The sequence below is a fragment of the Homo sapiens genome, chromosome 1 (assembly GCF_000001405.40).
Source record: "Homo sapiens chromosome 1, GRCh38.p14 Primary Assembly".
Classification (NCBI taxonomy): Eukaryota; Metazoa; Chordata; class Mammalia; order Primates; family Hominidae; genus Homo; species Homo sapiens.
In genome coordinates this window covers 108,542,233-108,561,505 of record NC_000001.11, presented here as the reverse complement: position 1 = coordinate 108,561,505, position 19,273 = coordinate 108,542,233, and the positions used below count along the sequence as shown (strand labels likewise).

The window sequence follows — 19,273 nt, the reverse complement described above, 5'->3', positions numbered from 1 at the left end:
AGTAGAATATTTTTAGGGCAGAAATAAAGCCTAAGACCAGTATATATGGGCAAAATAACATTAACTTTTAACCCTTCTTGATCTCAGGAACTCAAAAGTTCATTTAAAAAATTGTTTTCTCTCTCTATGTATATATTTTAAAGAAAGCACCTTAGGGTACATCTGTCAACCTGTGAGTAGCTCTGAAATTACTCAAGAAACACTGCCACACCTATTATTAATGCCACACCTATTATTTAATAGCTTCATTCTGTAACCTGCTAATGCCTCTCTCTGGGAGTGCCCAGGGGCTCATTTTAAAATGAGGGCAGGGCCTGGGCTCCCCATCTGGCTCTAAGCCCTCCCACAAGGAGACCTACTAGTGGCCACTTCAAGACTAATTCATCCAGCATTAGCGCCTAACTGGAGACGCCGCTCTCTGATGAGGCACAGACCGTTGTCTCGTCTGCCAGGAGCACTTGACTCAAGTCAAGCCTGGCCAGGCCTACCCCAGCCTCAGAGTGGGTGGCCAAGTCCCCTTGTAATCTACAAGGGAGAAGGAATTGTGCTAAGCACAGGTTTCTGTTCAGAGCTGGGCTCTTGGAACTCCTGCAGTTTGGGTTATTTTAGTTTTTAACAGCTCAAGTTCTACTTTGCATTTCACAAATATGGAAATGTCTTAAGAGAAAACAGAAGCATCCTCCCTCTCTGGCCATTGCTCCCATTCCTAGAGGATTTGGGAGGGAAGAGCAGATACCAGGCACCATCTGGAGTCAGGAGCGCAGGAACCAAGGCCAGCTGAGAAGAACCCATTTGCAAAGCACTTTGCAGATCAATAAATTCGACTGATTTTAGAGCGGTCCCTAGGGAAAGGCGAGCAAATGGGCCAAGGAGAGATGCTGCCCATCCAACAAGCCCTGGCCAAGCAGAAAGGGGCGAGGCGGCGCGGGAGGCGAGTTACCTGGAGGACTCGGCGGTGAAGCTGCCGCCGTCCAGCAGCCGCATCTTGCAGAAGAGGACCCCATTGACGAAGGGCACTGAGGAGAGCTCCTCGAGCTCGAAGTCCACCTTAAACTTAAACTTCTTCTTCTTCATCATCGTGAGAGCCAGGCGCCTGCAAGCTGGGCGCACGGCCGGGCGCCGCCGCCTCAGCTTGGCCGAGCCCCGGATCAGCCCAGCCCCATGGCCGGGGCCGCGAGCTGTGCGCGGGGGCGCGGCCGGGGGGCGCCGCAGGCCGGCCGCGGCCGGGGCCGCTGCCGCCGCCTCTCGCGGCAGCCTGGGCCGGAACGCGGCGGCAGCTGCGGCGCGGACCCCGACCGCCCGCGGGGAGCGGTCGTGCTGCAGCTCGCCCGGGGAGGTGAGCGCCCTTTTGGTGCTCAGCTCGCCGCCGCCGCCGCCGCCGCCTCCGCCGCCGCTGCCGCCCGTCTGGGAGTCGGGAGAGGCGAGGCTCGAGGAACCGCCGCCTCAGCGCCTCGGGGGTCGGGGGCGCCCCCAGCGGCCGCGGCCTGCAGCGCACGGCGGGGCGGAAGCCGGAGGGAGGGCGGGGACTTTGTGGGCGGGCGCGGGCTTGGCCGCGGACTCTAACCCGCGACGGCAGTTAGCACGTCACGCCTTTCTGGGGTTAAAAAAAGACAAACCCGACAGAGAAAGCTTCCTTCTACCGCTTCCTCTCCGCCTTTCTTTTCAGTTTTTGCACCGCCTCCTTTCTCCCCCACCCCCTCCAGTGGTTTCTTTCCTTTGGGTTTGAGAGCCATGGGTTAATAGAGGCAATTAAAATCTCAGCGTTGTTTTGGTCAAATTGAAATCCTAAAACTAAAATTTCCGTTAGGTACTCTAAATTCACGAGCCTTCAAATATAAAAGGAAGATAAGGTAGGAAAAAGGAAAATGATGTGCTGAGGGACTATCAAGGGCCCAGGCACCGTACTGCTGCAGGCGCTTTCTCTGGGGTATAGCTTATCTAGTTCCTGTCACCCAGGACAAAAGATAAAAGAGCAAAGAAGCAGTTAAAATAATACCCTCCCTTTAAAAATTTGTCTGTCTATACTGAGAACTGAAATGCTTAAAATCAAATTCTGCAGGCAGTCTGGCATGGCTACGCTGTAATCCCAGCTACTCGGGAGGCTGAGGAGGGAGGTTAGCCTGAGCCGGGGAAGCGGAGCTTGCAATGATCGGAGATCGCGCCACTGCACTCTAGCCTGGGCAACAGAACAAGCCCCTGTCTTAAAAACAAAACAAAATCTTCAGAGCAGGCTTAAAAAAAAATCTCCCTAGGGGAATAACAATTACCTGCCTTCTGTAATCATGCATGTATTGTTACAATGAATGTTACAAAGTTGGTTACGTGATGTTCATGTTTTTAAACTGAGTTATTGTCATTTTCACTCAGATTCTGCCACAGTAATTCTGAAAGGGTTTAATTGAAAATATTTTCTTTCTCAGTTTACTCGTTTACTCATTCATTCATATAAAAAAATTGCTTAAAATGTCAATCATCGGCTAGACCCCATAACCAAAAGCCAATAACTGCCCTCAAGAATTTTACAATCTAGTGAGGAAGACATGTTTAGACAGGTCATTAAAAAAACACAACCTAGCACCAAGCTATGTAGAACTCAGAGAAGCAATTAATTGAAGTTAATCAGTTTTCTGAATTTCAAAGGATGAAAATGATTTGGGACAAAGTGGGGTAAGTTGTTCTAGGAGAAATAAATTAAAAAAAAAAAAAGATTCAGAGGCAGGTTCGGGGGTGGGGATTTGGTAATGGATAAAGCTTCTTACCCTGCAGGACAGGGGGCAAAGACAGTGAGATGCATTTGGGGACTTTGAGATTTGTCATTTAGAGCACTGGATGAATGTTAATTTCATTGACTGAACATTGAAAGCAAGAGGAGGGCAGGTTGGGAATGGAAGAGATAATGAGTCTTTATGGGATCTGCTTGCAGTACATCTAGGGAGAGAGAGGCAGCCTTAGCTCATAAAAATGCATTGGCAATTGAAAATATACATTTGGGAATTGAGGTAATCGCTGATGGCTGAAGCCCAAAAGGTGGATAAGGATGAGTTACTCTGAAGAATATTTAAAGGGTAGGCAAAGAGGAGATCGTGAAGGTGCCTAAGAACAAGCAGTCAAGAGAAAAAGGAGATGAAGAAAGAGATGGCCTGGAAGCCCAGACGGTTTTAATCATGTAACATTCGTAGTTACAAAGTTCTATTGTGTGCCAGGCACTATGCTGGGTACTAGAGATGCAAATGAATAAGACATAGGGGCTTATAAAGGAATGGAGAAAAACAGAGATATGCAAACAGATCAACTAAAGTGTGTGTGTGTGGTATGTGAGTATGTGTGTGTGAGAGAGAGAAGAGAGAGAGAAAGAAAGAGAGAGAGCAATCTGTGATCCATGTAGGACAGAGGACCATTTCAAGAGAGTGCTGCAGAGCAGTCCCAGAGGATTTGGACTGAAAAGAAGCTACTGAATTGAAGGTCTAGGAGGTCATTGGTAATCTTGGCAAGAGAAGTCATCATAAAAGATAGTGACAAAGTAAGATGAAAAGTGACAAAGTAAGTGAAAAGATGACAGTGAAAAGTAAGATAGTGACAAAGTAATGTGGGTAAATAAAAATTATATTTTTATTGATGTTTTTCTGATTTTTTTGTCAGCGAATGAAAAGAGAGAGAGAATGGTGACCAGAGGAGGACAGTTCAATCTTTTTCAATAACATTCAGGAACTATCCAATATTTATTGAGTGTCTATTAGGTGCCAAGCACCTTAATAGGTCCTATGGATTTGAAATGCCGTCCCTGTCTTAGATCTCACGGTCTACTGGAGGACACAGAGAAGTAAGCAGGCAGTTGCAGTACAATGTAACACTGAGTGCTGTCTGTGTATGATGGTGAGTGGAGACTGCTGTGGGAGACTATAAAAGCTAACAGGGATAAGTAGTAGGTTTATGGAATGCCTTCTAGGGTAAGTGAAGCCTGAATTCAGGCCTTTAAGCTGAGGCCTGAATAATGAGCATGGGTGGGGAGCAGTTTCCAGGAAGGAGGTAGTGTCTGTGCAGAGGCTCAAAGGAAGAGAGACCATGTTGCAGAGGGAACTGAAATTAGTTCTGTCTGGCTGCAACTTAGAGTTGGGTACAGTGACAGGGGTTAACAAAGAGCCATTGAAGTTTTAAAGAAGAAGCATGATATATTCAGATTTACATTTTGTAAAGCTCTTCTACTTTATAAAATGGAAGATAGGAGACAGTCTGTTACTGTTTTTTAGACTCATGGTTTGATTATTAAACCCCTGATAGGAGTCATAGTCAAGGCAGGAAACAGATATCATATTCAATGTGTTTAAATGGGGAAAATTTAATGAAAGGACTCTTCACAGAGTTGACAGGGTAAGGGACCCACAGTCTGGTGAGAAGTTGAAAGGAAGAAGGGATAAATATCCTGATTTCTCTCACCTCCTACTTTCTGATCTCTTGGTGGTGCTTCCCATGATCCAAAACCAACCAAGGCCAGAGGGTAGAGGGGCTCGGAACATGCAGTTCATACAGGACAGACTCCTGGGGCACAAAGTAGGGCACTGAAAGGTAGAGAATGGTTGGAGGTAAGGGGATGGAAAGCCACTAGCACACAAAGGATACAGTCAGGGTTCACCATAGGAAGCTGAAACCACTCTGGATGTTTCAAAAAAAAAAAAAAAAAGGGATTTCATTCAGGCACTTCACTGCTTCTGAAATCTGTGGAAGGGCTGAAGGGGTTGAGGTCAGCAGACTGTCGAATTCAAAGTCACATGCTTTGTGGTAAACATTACTAGTGTTCACTAGTATCCGGTCCTCCTTGATTTCTGAGCATATGGGAGTTTACAGTTCCCAATTCCCTTGCGGTTAGTGGGGCCTTGTGATGAGGTCTAGCCAATAAAATGTGAGAAGTAACACGTCACTTCCAGGATGAAACAGTGAAAAGCCTTTGAGCAGTTCTCTAGACTACCTCTTCCCTGCCACAATAGTTATAGAGGAGACCTTGGGTTAAGATGTAGCAGCCACAAGATTGAAGCAGCCCAGATTTCTTAAGTCAGCACATGGAGAGCAACTGCCCACACCTGCAGGAAACATTTTGTCTGTGAGAAAGCAACTTTTATTATATGAAGCCACTGAGATTTTGGGGGATGCTTGTCACTACAGCATAAGTCTAGTTTATTCTGACTAACATACACTGCAGCTGGGATGGGAAGCTGACACTAGAACACTGCTACTGCTGCTGCCACCACCACTGGCTCACACCTGTCAAGACTATGAGGAGTCTGAATGCCACAGGCATGTCATCACACCTTGCTTGCAAGTGACACAGCAGTAAGAAGAGAGCCTCCATTTCACTTGCACCTGTGTTTTCATAAGGAAATTTATTTGGCAGGCCTTATTTGCACCCAAAAATTGAGTGGCAAAGGAGTCTGAGAAATGTAATTTTCAGCTTTCCAACTTCTTCAGATAGGATGGTGGAATGAATGTTGAGGCTAAGTATCTACTCCAGTACTTATAATTCAAGTTTCTTAAAGGCAGGGATGGTTTGCTGATCATCTTTGTATCTTTTCTAAATAGCCCAGTACCTAGTGGGTATTCAATACATGTTTCTTGAAATGACCTGAATTTATAGACCTATCCTAAGTGTGTTAACTCTCAGGTAAAACAACAGAGTGAATAGACATGTGCTAAGACTGCTTACTGCCAGAGGTGTGACAATTCTTACAGGTTTATTCAATTCCCTTGAAAAGCATTTACTACCCCTTAAAAATGCGTACACTCCCCCTTTACCTCTCCCCTACAAAAAGGATATTTAAGTCTCAACCCTCTGGTCTTTCTTTGAGTCTCATATTCGCAGGACTACTCTGTCCATGTGCACTGATAAATTTGTATGCCTTTTCTCCTGTTAATCTGTCTATTGTCAGTCATTTCAGCAAAGCTTCAGAAGGCAGAGGGGAAGCTTTCCCATCAATCTTATACCTACAATAATTTGGTAAGAAAGTAAGATATCTATGAAACCCATAGTTCTATAAGAGGTTGAAAAATGGAATGTTAGTAGGTTATATTTATGGCTGCATTCAGTAAGATATTGGAAACATAAGATGAACTCATGCAATAATTAGCAGGTTTGCAAGCATAAATTAAAAGGAATATAGAGAGTCCAGAAATTTGGAGCCTCAAGGGATGGGAAAAACTAACTGCTCTATACCTCAAAGAATAGGAAATAAGATTGAAAAAGCTCTTGAGCAACAAGGGCCCATTAAGACTCAGCCGTGAAACAAAGATTATATTTAGGGTGTGGTCTTCACATTTAAGTCTGATGTTCTCAAAGTAGCCTCCTTAAATTGAGAGGAAGAGAGGAGTGAAGAAGCAAAGAGATAATCAGGATTGAGAATTATCTCTAGGAAACCTCAGTGTTTCTGGCATATGGAACTGACTGGAAGCAAAAAGATCAAATACTTTTCAGTTTTTGAACTACTGTATTGCTAAAGAAATCATGAGCCTGCGTTAAAAGTTGTACTCTCCTCAAGAAAGTCACGTTCCTCGACACTCATTTTAAATGTGGGCTTAGAGGAAAAATTTCCAGAGGGCAGAGCCAGGGACCACAGAGGACAACAGATAAGCAGATTCCTCACAGATAATGGAAACAGGGTGTAGCTGAGAAACAGCTCCCACTGCCAGCTCAGAGCCATCACAATGCCTCCCTGCAAAATTTCATTTTTGTGATGGGCCAGGGTCCCACTTTTCCCCCTTTCCTACCTGGAAGTATTTACTATATTTGTTCTATCATTATACATTGTGTGTGAGTGAGGGAAGATATTTTATTAGTTCATAAGCCACAGCTCTAATTGAAATGTTAGACTGGACAATTCTTTACAGTGGGGCTGTCCTGTATATTGTACGAGGTTTAGCAGCCTCCCTGGCCCCTACCCATCAGTTGCCAGTATCATCCCCCTCACTCCCAGTTGTGTTAATCAAAAATGTCTTCAGACATTGCCTAATATCTCCTGGGGGACAAAATCATTCTTAGTTGAGAATAACTGGGTTACAGGACGATGTGGAATTATATTCAGATCTGACTGAGAATTCTGTGCATTACATGGAAATCCTGCACTTTGAACTTGATGCAGTGACTGGGTGGATTTTAGGTTATCTCATTTGGTGACAATAATGAGTGTATTATTTATTTGGGAAGAAGAGTGAAATGGCTTTTTTTTGGTATCAGATGGATGGACTATGGCATAGATGACTAGGTCATGACCAAACCTGTTTTCTTGAGTACACAGTTCGACTATGTTTTCCAGTTTCCCTTGCAATTAGGTGCTGCTGCAAGACTGAGTTCCAGCCAGTGGAATGTGTGCAACTTCCAGGCCTGGCCCATAAAAACCTCTTGCATATGACCCTTTCACTCTTCTCCCATCTGATAGCTGGATGTTGACGTCAAGGATGATGCTAGACGCCAGATGTGGAAGATAGAAAAGCCTCTACCTGCCTGGGTCCCTATTGGCAATTTATAACCAGGAAATCGATCTGTGAGGTTAAGTGAGAAATTAGCATTTAATTTGCTGTGTGTGATTTTAAACATTACTGTTTTAAAAAATTGTGGAAAAATACATATGACATAAAATTGACCATGTTAACCATTTTTAAGTGCACAGTTCTGTGGCATTAAGTACAGTCACATAGTTGTGCAACCATCACCCCCATCCTTCTCCAGAAGTCTTTTCATCTTGCAAAACTGAGATTCTGTACCCATTTAACAATAACTCCCCATTCCCTGGAAACCACTCTTCTACCTTGCGTCTCTATGAATGGAATCACACAATATTTGTCCTTCTGTAACTGGCTTATTCACTTAAACATTTAATCTTTTAAGCCACTGAAATTTGGGATGTGTTTGTTATAACAGCTAGAATTACATACTGTATGCCTGGAACAGAGCAGATCCTCAAATAAATGTTTGCTGAGTAAGTGAACATTCAAATATTGTTAATTTGAAACATATGTTTAGGACATTATGTTGTATTTAATTTATAAATTTATATTGTTTTATAATGATATAAAAGTTATAAGATATTTAATTTTATGTGTAATATACACTTAGGTAACATTATAATTATGATAATTTAAATCAACATCAGGAGTCCATGACTTTTTACCCCATACATCATTTATTTTTGGGAAAAACTGCTATATTGGGTTGTTTGAAAAAGCATATATTCTAAGAAAACTGAATCAAGTACTTGCTTTAATTTTCCATTGCCTAAAACCAAACTTGACTAGAGTTGTTGAGGATTCATTATCAGATAATGACCTAGGAGCTTGAATAATTACATTCCCAGCCAAGCAAAAAGTTTTTTAGTTTACATCAAAGGGAATATGACAGTTAAAAAAAAAAAACCAGCAACAAAAAAAAGCCTCTCTCTTTGGCCTATGGTTGAATAGGGATGTTATTGATACCTAAATACTGACATTTTATCATCTTGATTACTAGTCTGTCTGACAGGAGAATAAAGGCTTTCAAGGAAAGAACCAGATACTTTCTGAGGCACCTCCTTTAATTCTAAAACTTGATCTCTTTCATAACTAGTTCTTTTTCATCTAATTTTCAAATTTCTATGGGAAGATGGCAAATTGCCTTTGTAATTCTTAAAAGCAACACTAGATTATATACTTTTCTATCAGAAACCACAATATTTGTTCTATAACTTCTTTCCAGTCAAGACATATCTAGAGTGGATCAAAAAGTGTTCTTTGAGTAATTGTAATATCTCTAAGAACTCTAGACTGATAGCATGTGGGTGATCTCAACTCCAATTTTGCCCCCCACTTCCTTGCCTCCTTCACATTCTAATGTTAGGATAGCTATGGGGATGATCACTTCCTAACCTCATATAATTATTCCTGTCCCGCCAAGCAGAACTGGATAGCTCTTTCTGGGAAATACTAAATACTAATTTTATAAACACATACATTTATGGAAGTTGTAGAAAGTAGGCTCTTTCTCTAAGAAAGAGCATTTTAGAAAATACTGATGCTTTCTAAAACAGTTGCGAAAATCTTTTAAGAATTTAAACCAAACCCACCTTAAATTCCAAATCTGGAAAATCTTAGTAATTTGTTGATTTACTTTGCTTATATAACCTGTACATATGTGTATGTGGAAATGCTTGGGAGATGTGTGTTTTTTTCCAATTAGTCTGGTTCCCATCTCCTTAGAGGTGCACTATATCATGTTTTCTGTCATTGTACTTTTTTCTTTCTTAAGACCAATTTTCTTGCAGTTCTTTGGTACGCACTCAATAGCTGGTGATGTTGTATTAAAATATGGCCTTTGTTTTTAAATTTAAAAAATCCCCTTTGTTTTTTGAAAAAAGTAACTTGTTGATTTGGATCCAAATAATTTTCAAAAATTAATAAACCAAAGAGGAATGCTTTTAAAAAACCAAAGCAAAAAGCACATTTGACCAGAGCCTATGCTGTGCCTTTTCTAAGTAAATGGTCACAAGACCAGAATACTATAATATTTTATTTAGTTAGATACCTGGAAAGTATTTTTAAAATTAGCATTATTTTTTCTTTCTATACCAGAGGTACAGAACTTCCAGGTACATTTTTTTAACCTGTTATATATATTTTTATCAAACATGCAAATTGATCAAGTAAAATACAAAAATAAAATCACTTCTATGACAATCATAACACAAAGACGATGTTTCCCCTAATATCATACCATAAGCTCATATGGAGCTTTAAGTTAGGGCCACATACAGTTAGAATTCTGAAATGAATCAGAGGTATGACTCAACAACAATGGATATTGATCTAGGAGTTCCCAGTTTTAATCTCAGTTCTGCTTCTGATGGTTTAATTTTGAGCAAGTGACAACTTCCCTGAGCTCATTCTGTTGTGCAAAGTGAGAGAAATACTCTAGATCAACACTGTCCAATAGAACTTTCTGCAATAATGGAAATATTCTCTGCTCTGTCCAATATGGTAGTCACTAGCCACATGTGGTGACTGAACACTTTAAATGCAGTAGGTGTGACTAAATAACTGATTTTTAAATTTTGTTTAATTCTAATTAATTTAAATACCCACATGTGGCTAATGGCTATATTGGATAGCAGAGGCCTAGATTCACTCTCATTCACTCACTTAGCAAGCATTCAAGTGCCTGCAATCTGCCAAGCAAGCATCTGGCTAGGTGGGGAAGGTGTGTCATCACAACATCTTTGTCTTCAAGGAGTTAACTTGAAGAAAACTAAGTACTTTGCTAGTACATGTGCTTCAATAAGCATATGCAAAAAGCTGTGCGTACTCATAGAGGAGAGAGCAATAAACAGAAGGTATATCATTTCTAAGGTCCTCTCCAGCTCTAAAATTATGTAACTATAGATATATATGCATCTATATATCCACATATCTATGTATATCTATATCTATGTATATATATTCGATAGATATATACTTAGATAGATCTAAATGGATATATATTCATAAATATATATGGATATACCTCTGCTATCCAATATTCTAATATATAAATATATTTAAATATATAAATATATGAATATATAAATATAAATATATATTAAAATGTATATAGATATACATATCTTTGTATATCTATATCTATATATATTAGATAAATATTTAGATAGATCTAAAAATGTATACATAGATATACATATTCATATGTATACATAGATATACATATTCATATGTATATCTCTGTATATTTTATATGTATTTATATTTATATATTCATATATTTAAACATATTTATATATTAAAACATTGGATAGCAGAGGTATTCCATATATTTATGAATATATATTCATATATAATTATATATTTAAATATATAAATTTATACATCCATATATATTTATATATTTAAATATATAAATTTATACATTAAATATATATTTTAATATTTATGTATTTATGAATCTCTATTTATGTACATGATATCTATCTATCTATCTATCTATTTTTAAAATTAGAGAAGGGGGTCTCACTATATCGCCCAGACTGGTCTTGAACTCTGGGCCTCAAGTGATTCTCCTGCCTCAGCCTCCCAAAGTGCTGGGATTAGAGGCATGAACCACTGTGACTGGCCAGCTCTAAAATTATGTGAATTAAACTCAACAAATATTTACTGAGCACCTATTTCTGTGCAGCTGTTTGTCAGCTCAATGTATTGGTATAGGATTATCACTCAGAGGGTAGTAGCTACAACTACCATCAGCACTCTTGTTGATTGATTCATTCATTCATCCAATATGTGGTGTTTATGAGTGTTTATATACCAAGAACTTCACTAGACACACATGAAAAAAATGAATTTGATGATGATTTCAAAGGTTCATAGTGAAACATCGACTTTAACTCTATTTTTCAGGAAATGAATTACCAGATTCTGGGTTCACTTTGGCCATATTTAGAATTGATGGTGTTTCAAATGTTATTTCAACTTTCTAGAGCCAAATCATCCTAGTATTAGTAATAAATAAAGTAAAAATTAAAGAATTGGGTATATTTGGCCATTAAAAACTGTGCACACGCTTTACAATAAAATATATTGGTTAAAGTAAATACTCTGAGATCTTCCTTAGAAAAGATTCTTTTATATTTTTACCTAGATATAAATATTTATTACTTTTCAATGTACTTTTTTCTTTTTTGCTGATGTCTAGCTACAGTATCAAGTACAGTATTTTTCTATGTGTTAGATCATGTCTTCTTTTACATAAAACTGATGTGATGTCGCCTCTTGTTTGTTGGATATACACATATTTATTTCTTCAACTATTTATTTAGTCAACCAGCATGCAAATATTGCTGTGCCATTCAATTGGAAAATACAAAAGCAAATAAGAGTTGGATTGTCTTCTTAAGGAGTTGATAAAGAAAATAAGAAACAGAAGAAAGTTGAGAAAGAGGCATTTTCAAAATGTCCTTCAGAGTACTTTGGAGGTGGAAGCAGTTACTTCCAAATGAGACATTAAGAGAAGGCTTTGTGGAGGATGTGGCACTGAGCTAGACCTTGAGCCTTGAAGGAAGTGTAGAATCTGCAACAGCAGAGAAGGAAGGAAAGGCTGTTTCCGAGTCAGGAAAGCACAAAATTAGGGAGGAGAAGAATGTGAGTTAAAACAAAGGAAAAAATAGCTGTGAAAAAGTAGAGGAAAATCCGATTTTAAACATAGATTGTGGCTAGATCCTGCTTTTAAATGCTGGGCTGGGGATTCTAGACTTTATGTTGTAGATTGTAAGGCATTTGGGCAAGGGGATGAAAAATCAGAGTTGTTCATTAGGAAAATTAATCTGACAGAAGTATTTAAGATATGTTGGGGTAGGGAGAGGCTAAATGCAGGGACCAGTTATTGGGCTAGTTATTACAGCCATGCAGATGATAGGTTGCTATGAGGCCCTGAATTATAATACTATCAGGAGATTAGAGAGGAGGGGGCTCACGAGAGGTTATTGTAAAAGTAGAATCAATAAGACCGGGCAACTTACGGCATATAGTGACAGAATAAGGAAAAGAAGAAGTATAAAATATCTCCAATATTATACGTCTTCATAAGAGAGGAGGAAGAGAGACATTTAGATTGATGTAGAAAATATACTCTGTAGGGAAGAAAAATGTATTACGTTCTGGTTGAATATGTATGTATATATTCAACTAACTTTAACTGATGCTAGTGATGAAAATGTGAAGTGCATTGGAGATATCTTGAATTTTTGCACTGTGATAGTAATCTGAGTAGCTAGGTTACTTATATTCAATGTTGTTTCTTTTATTATTTAAGTATATTTATGTTCTCAGACTGATGAGTTGGATAAATCCCTCTCGTAACCTTAACCTGACCTTGGTTCAGCCAAGTGTTCGAGGTTTATAGATTTTCTTACTGCATTCAAGATCTTTCAACAAGGAGATTCTTAAAATAGCACAAAAGATCTTTCTCTTTAACAACAAAAAGTTCCCATCCATGGATGGCCTTGATTTAAGCTTTTAGCTTATACGCTTTTTGAACACTTAAATTGCAGAGCTTTCCAGATTAAATCTGATGTGGTTAATATATTTAAAACAAATAGCCTGCAGACAATTACTGTCATAAAATGAAATATAATTTCTCAGTTGGAAAGCATAATTTTTATTCGACCTTTCTAAGAAGGAACATTCAGGTTTCAGTAGAATTGTTTTAAACAATTTTTTTAAGGGTTTAACAATTGTTTTACGGGAGCATTTTCTCCAATAGGTGGATAGGGAAGATATGTTATTACCAGTGAGTCCCTAAAAGACATAATGTCTCAAGCAGTACTTTAATCCACATCTATGGTTTTTCATTTTCAATCTAAAAAGAATCACAGTAGGAATATGCAGTAGGCCTATTTAGTATGATAATCATAATGCCATATTTAACTTTACTAATTTTCAATTTTCCTTTATATCTTAAGAGCCATCTTTCTTAAAGGCTATTTTTTATATATATATACTTTTAAGTTCTACGGTACATGTGCACAACCTGCAGGTTTGTTACACAGGTATACATGTGCTATGTTGGTTTGCTGCACCCATTAATTCTTCATTTACATTAGGTATTTCTCCTAATGCTATCCCTCCCCGAGTCCCCCACCCTATGACAGGCCCCGGTGTGTGATGTTCCCCACCCTATGTCCAAGTGTTCTCATTGTTCAATTTCTACCTATGAGTGAGAACATGTGGTGTTTGGTTTTCTGTCCTTGTGATAGTTTGCTCAGAAAGATGATTTCCAGCTTCATCCATGTCCCTACAAAGGACATGAACTCATCCTTTTTTATGGCTGCATAGTATTCCATGGTGTATATGTGCCACATTTTCTTAATCCAGTCTATCATTGATGGACATTTGGGTTGGTTCCAAGTCTTTGCTATTGTGAATAGTGCTGCAATAAACATACGTGTGCATGTGTCTTTATAGTAGCATGATCTATAATCCTTCGGGTATATACCCAGGAATGGGATGGCTGGGTCAAATGATATTTCTAGTTCTAGATCCTTGAGGAATCGCCACACTGTCTTCCACAATGGTTGAACTAGTTTACACTCCAACCAACAGCATAAAAGTGTTCCTATTTCTCCACATCCTCTCCAGCATCTGTTGTTTCCTGACTTTTTAATGATCACCATTCTAACTGGTGTGAGATGATATCTCATTGTGGTTTTGATTTGCATTTCTCTGATGACCAGTGATGATGAGTATTTTTTCATGTGTCTGTTGGCTGCATAAATGTCTTCTTTCGAGAAGTGTCTGTTCATATCCTTTGCCCAATTTTTGATGGGGTTGTTTGTTTTTTTCTTGTAAATTTGTTTGAGTTCATTGTAGATTCTGGATATTAGCCCTTTGTCAGATGGGTAGATTGTAAAAATTTTCTCCCATTCTGTAGGTTGCCTGTTCACTCTGATGGTAGTTTCTTTTGCTGTGCAGAAGCTCTTTAGTTTAATTGGATCCCATTTGTCTATTTTGGCTTTTGTTGCCATTGCATTTGGTGTTTTAGTCATGAAGTCCTTGCCCATGCCTATGCCCTGAATGGTATTGCCTAAGTTTTCTTCTAGGGTTTTTATGGTTTTAGGTCTAACATTTAAGTCTTTAATCCATCTTGAATTAATTTTTGTATAAGGGGTATGGAAGGGATCCAGTTTCAGCTTTCTAAATATGGCTAGCCAGTTTTCCCAACACCATTTATTAAATAGGGAATCATTTCCCCATTTCTTATTTTTGTCAGGTTTGTCAAAGATCAGATGGTTGTGGATGTGTGGTGTTATTTCTGAGGCCTCTGTTCTGTTCCATTGGTCTATATCTCTGTTTTGGTACCAGTACCATGCTGTTTTGGTTACTATAGCCTTGTAGTGTAGTTTGAAGTCAGGTAATGTGATGGCTCCAGCTTTGTTCTTTTTGCTTAGGACTGTCTTGGCAATGCGGGCTCTTTTTTGGTTCCATATGAACTTTAAAGTAGTTTTTTCCAATTCTGTGAAGAAAGTCGTTGGTAGCTTGATGGGGATGGCGTTGAATCTATAAATTACCTTGAGCAGTATGGCCATTTTCACAATATTGATTCTTCCTATCCAGTAGCATGGAATGTTCTTCCATTTGTTTGTATCCTCCTTTATTTCATTGAGCAGTGGTTTGTAATTCTCCTTGAAGAGGTCCTTCACATCCCTTGTAAGTTAGATTCCTAGATATTTTATTATCTTTGTAGCAATTGTGAATGGGAGTTCAGTCATGATTTGGCTCTCTGTTTGTCTGTTGTTGGTGTATAAGAATGCTTGTGATTTTTGTACATTGATTTTGTATCCTGAGACTTTGCTGAAGTTGCTTATCAGCTTAAGGAGATTTTGGGCTGAGATGATGGGGTTTTCTAAATATACAATCATGTCATCTGCAAACAGGGACAATTTGACTTCCTCCTTTCCTAATTGAATACCCTTTATTTCTTTCTCCTTCCTGATTGCCCTTGCCAGAACTTCCAACACTGTGTTGAACAGGAGTGGTGAGAGAGGGCATCCCTGTTTTGTGCCAGTTCTCAAAGGGAATGCTTCCAGTTTTTGCCCATTCAGTATGATATTGGCTGTGGGTTTGTCATAAATAGCTCTTATTATTTTAAGCTACGTTCCATCAATACCTAGTTTATTGAGAGTTTTTAGCATGAAGGGCTGTTGAGTTTTGTCGAAGGCCCTTTCTGCTTCTATTGAGATAATCATGTGGTTTTTGTCATTGGTTCTGTTTATGTGATGGATTACCTTTATTGATTTGCATATGTTTAACCAGATTTGCATCCCAGGGATGAAGCCGACTGGATCGCGGTGGATAAGCTTTTTGATGTGCTGCTGGTTTCGGTTTGCCAGTGTTTTATTGAGGATTTTCGCATTGATGTTCATCAGGGATATTGGTCTAAAATTCTCTTTTTTGGTTGTGTCTCTGCCAGGCTTTGGTATCAGGATGATGCTGACCTCATAAAATGAGTTAGGGAGGATTCCCTCTTTTGCTATTGATTAGAATAGTTTCAGAAGGAATGGTACCAGCTCCTCTTTGTACCTTTGGTAGAATTCGGCTGTGAATCCGTCTGATCCTGGACTTTTTTTGGTTGGTAGGCTATTGATTATTGCCTCAATTTCAGAGCCTATTATTGGTCTATTCAGAGATTCAACTCCTTCCTTGTTTAGTCTTGGGAGGGTGTATATGTCCAGCAATTTATCAATTTCTTCTAGATTTTCTAGTTTATTTGTGTAGAGGTGTTTATAGTATTCTCTGATGATAGTTTGTATTTCTGTGGGATTAGTGGTGATATCCCCTTTATCATTTTTTATTGCGTCTATTTGATTCTTCTCTCTTTTCTTATTTATTAGTTTTGCTAGCAGTCTATCAATTTTGTTGATCTTTTCAAAAAAAACAGCTCCTGGATTCATTAATTTTTTGAAGGGTATTTTGTGTCTCTATCTCCTTCAGTTCTGCTCTGGTCTTAGTTATTTCTTGCCTTCTGCTAGCCTTTGAATTTGTTTGCTCTTGCTTTTCTAGTTCTTTTAATTGTGATGTTAGGGTGTCGATTTTAGACCTTTCCTGCTTTCTCTTGTGGGCATTTAGTGGTATAAATTTCCCTCTATACATTACTTTAAATGTGTCCCAGAAATTCTGGTACGTTGTGTCTTTGTTCTCATTGGTTTCAAAGAACATCTTTATTTCTGCCTTAATTTCGTTATTTACCCAGTAGTCATTCAGGAGCAGGTTGTTCAGTTTCCATGTAGTTGTGCAGTTTTGAATGAGTTTCTTAATCCTGAGTTCTAATTTGATTGCAGTGTGGTCTGAGAGACAGTTTGTTGTGATTTCTGTTCTTTTACATTTGCTGAGGAGTGTTTTACTTCCAACTATGTGGTCAATTTTAGAATAAGTGTGATGTGGTACTGAGAAGAATGTATATTCTGTTGATTTGGAGTGGAGAGTTCTGTAGATGTCTATTAGGTCCACTTGGTGCAGAGCTGAGTTCAAGTCCTGGATATCCTTCTGAACCTTCTGTCTCATTGATCTGTCTAATGTTGACAGTGGGGCGTTAAAGTCTCCCATTATTATTGTGTGGGAGTTCAGTCTCTTTGTACGTCTCTAAGGACTTGCTTTATGAATCTGGGTGCTCCTGTATTGGGTGCATATATATTTAGGATAGTTAGCTCTTCTTGTTGAATTGATCCCTTTACCATTATTTAATGGCCTTTCTGTCTCTTTTGATCTTTGTTGGTTTAAAGTCTGTTTTATCAGAGACTGAAATTGCAACTCCTGCTTTTTTTTGCTTCCCATTTGCTTGGTAGATCTTCCTCCATCCCTTTATGTTGAGCCTATGTGTGTCTCTGCATGTGAGATGGGCCTCCAGAATACAGCACACTGATAGGTCTTGACTCTTTGTACAATTTGCCAGTCAGTGTCTTTTAATTGGGGCATTTAGCCTGTTTACATTTAAGGTTAATATTGTTATGTGTGAATTTGATCTTGACATTATGACGTTAGCTGGTTATTTTGCCCATTAGTTTATGCAGTTTCTTCCTAGCATCTATGGTCTTTACAATTTGGCATGTTTTTGCAGTGGCTGGTACCGGTTTTTCCTTTCCATGTTTAGTGCTCCTTCAGGAGCTCTTGTAAGGCAGGCCTGGTGGTGACAGAATCTCTCAGCGTTTGCTTGTCTGTAAAGGATTTTATTTCTCCTTCACTTAAGAAGCTTAGTTTGGCTGGATATGAAATTCTGGGTTGAAAATTCTTTTCTTTAAGAATGTTGAATATTGGCCCCCACTCTCTTCTGGCTTATAGAGTTTCTGCTGGGAGAGCTGCTGTTAGTCTGATGGGCTTTCCTTTGTGGGTAACCCGACCTCTCTCTCTGGCTGCCCTTAACATTTTTTCCTTCATTTCAACCTTGGTGAATCTGACAATTACATGTCTTGTGGTTGCTCTTCTTGAGGAGTATCTTTGTGGTGTTCTCTGTATTTCCTGAATTTGAATGTTGGCCTGCCTTGCTAGGTTGGGGAATTTCTCCTGGATAATATCCTGAAGAGTGTTTTCCAACTTGGTTCCATTCTCTCCATCACTTTCAGATACACCAATCAAACGTAGATTTGGTCTTTTCACATAGTCCCATATTTCTTGGAGGCTTTGTTCATTTCTTTTTACTCTTTTTTCTCTAAACTTTTCTTCTTGCCTTATTTCATTAATTTGATCTTCAATCACTGATACCCTTTCTTCCACTTGATCGAATCGGCTACTGAAGCTTGTGCATGAGTCACGTAGTTCTTGTGCCATGGTTTTCAGCTCCATCAGGTAATTTAAGGTCTTCTCAACACTGTTTATTCTACTTAGCCATTCATCTAACCTCTTTTTCAAGGTTTTTAGCTTCCTTGCAATGGGTTTGAACATCCTTCTTTAGCTCAGAGAAGTTTGTTATTACCAACCTTCTGCAGCCTACTTCTGTCAACTTGTCATAGTCATTCTCTGTCCAGCTTTGTTCTGTTGCTGGGTAGGAGCTGCAATCCTTTGGAGGAGAAGAGACACTCTGGTTTTCAGAATTTTCAGCTTTTCTGCTCTGGTTTCTCCCTATTTTTGTGGGTTTATCTACCTTTGGTCTTTGATATTGGTGACCTGCAGATGGGGTTTTGGTGTGGATGTCCTTTTTGTTGATGTTGATGCTATTCCTTTCTTGTTTGTTAGTTTTCCTTCTAGCAGTCAGATCCCTTAGCTGCAGGTCTGTTGGAGTTTGCTGGAGGTCCACTCCAGACCCTGTTTGTCTGGGTATCACCAGCGGGGACTACAGAACAACAAATATTGCAGAACAGCAAATATTGCTGCCTGATTCTTCGTCTGGAAGCTTCATCCCAGAGGGGCACCCACCTTTATGAGGTGTCAGTCAGCCCCTACTGGGAGGTATCTCCCAGTTAGACTACACTAGGGTCAGGGACCCACTTGAGGAGGCAGTCTGTCCGTTCTCAGAGCTCATATGCCATGCTGGGAGAACCATTGCTCTCTTCAGAGTTGTCAGACAGGGATGTTTAAGTCTGCAGAAGTTTCTGCTGCCTTTTGTTCAGCTATGCCCTGCCCCCAGAGGTGGAGTCAACAGAGGTAGTAGGCCTTGCTGAGCTGTGGTGGGCTCTGTAAATGGCTATATTTTGTTTGTTAGGTTGTTTGAGGGACAGGAGGGCCAAATCTTAAGGTATGTTGAGACACCCAGTATCATTTTCTTTCTTTGGCATGCTTCAAAATA

At 39.3% G+C, this 19,273-nt stretch overlaps 1 protein-coding gene across 1 annotated transcript in view, besides 3 other annotated features; it reads right to left on the bottom strand.

The window, feature by feature from the left end:
* Positions 1-1,406, bottom strand: part of EEIG2 (EEIG family member 2) — a 79,223-nt gene extending 77,817 nt beyond the window's left edge. The window contains exon 1 of the mRNA NM_001010883.3: positions 941-1,406. Within this exon, the coding sequence (NP_001010883.2) occupies positions 941-1,077 (137 nt within the window). The 5' untranslated portion in view covers positions 1,078-1,406. The remainder of the gene's footprint in view (positions 1-940) is intronic.
* Positions 203-252: an enhancer, noted in NCBI's record as "active region_1424". NCBI's record gives its function as "activates an Ori minimal core promoter by ATAC-STARR-seq in GM12878 lymphoblastoid cells {active_cell/tissue: GM12878}" and the evidence as "EXISTENCE:reporter gene assay evidence [ECO:0000049][PMID:35858748]".
* Positions 716-815: an enhancer, noted in NCBI's record as "active region_1423". NCBI's record gives its function as "activates an Ori minimal core promoter by ATAC-STARR-seq in GM12878 lymphoblastoid cells {active_cell/tissue: GM12878}" and the evidence as "EXISTENCE:reporter gene assay evidence [ECO:0000049][PMID:35858748]".
* Positions 1,206-1,745: a silencer, noted in NCBI's record as "silent region_1135". NCBI's record gives its function as "represses an Ori minimal core promoter by ATAC-STARR-seq in GM12878 lymphoblastoid cells {active_cell/tissue: GM12878}" and the evidence as "EXISTENCE:reporter gene assay evidence [ECO:0000049][PMID:35858748]".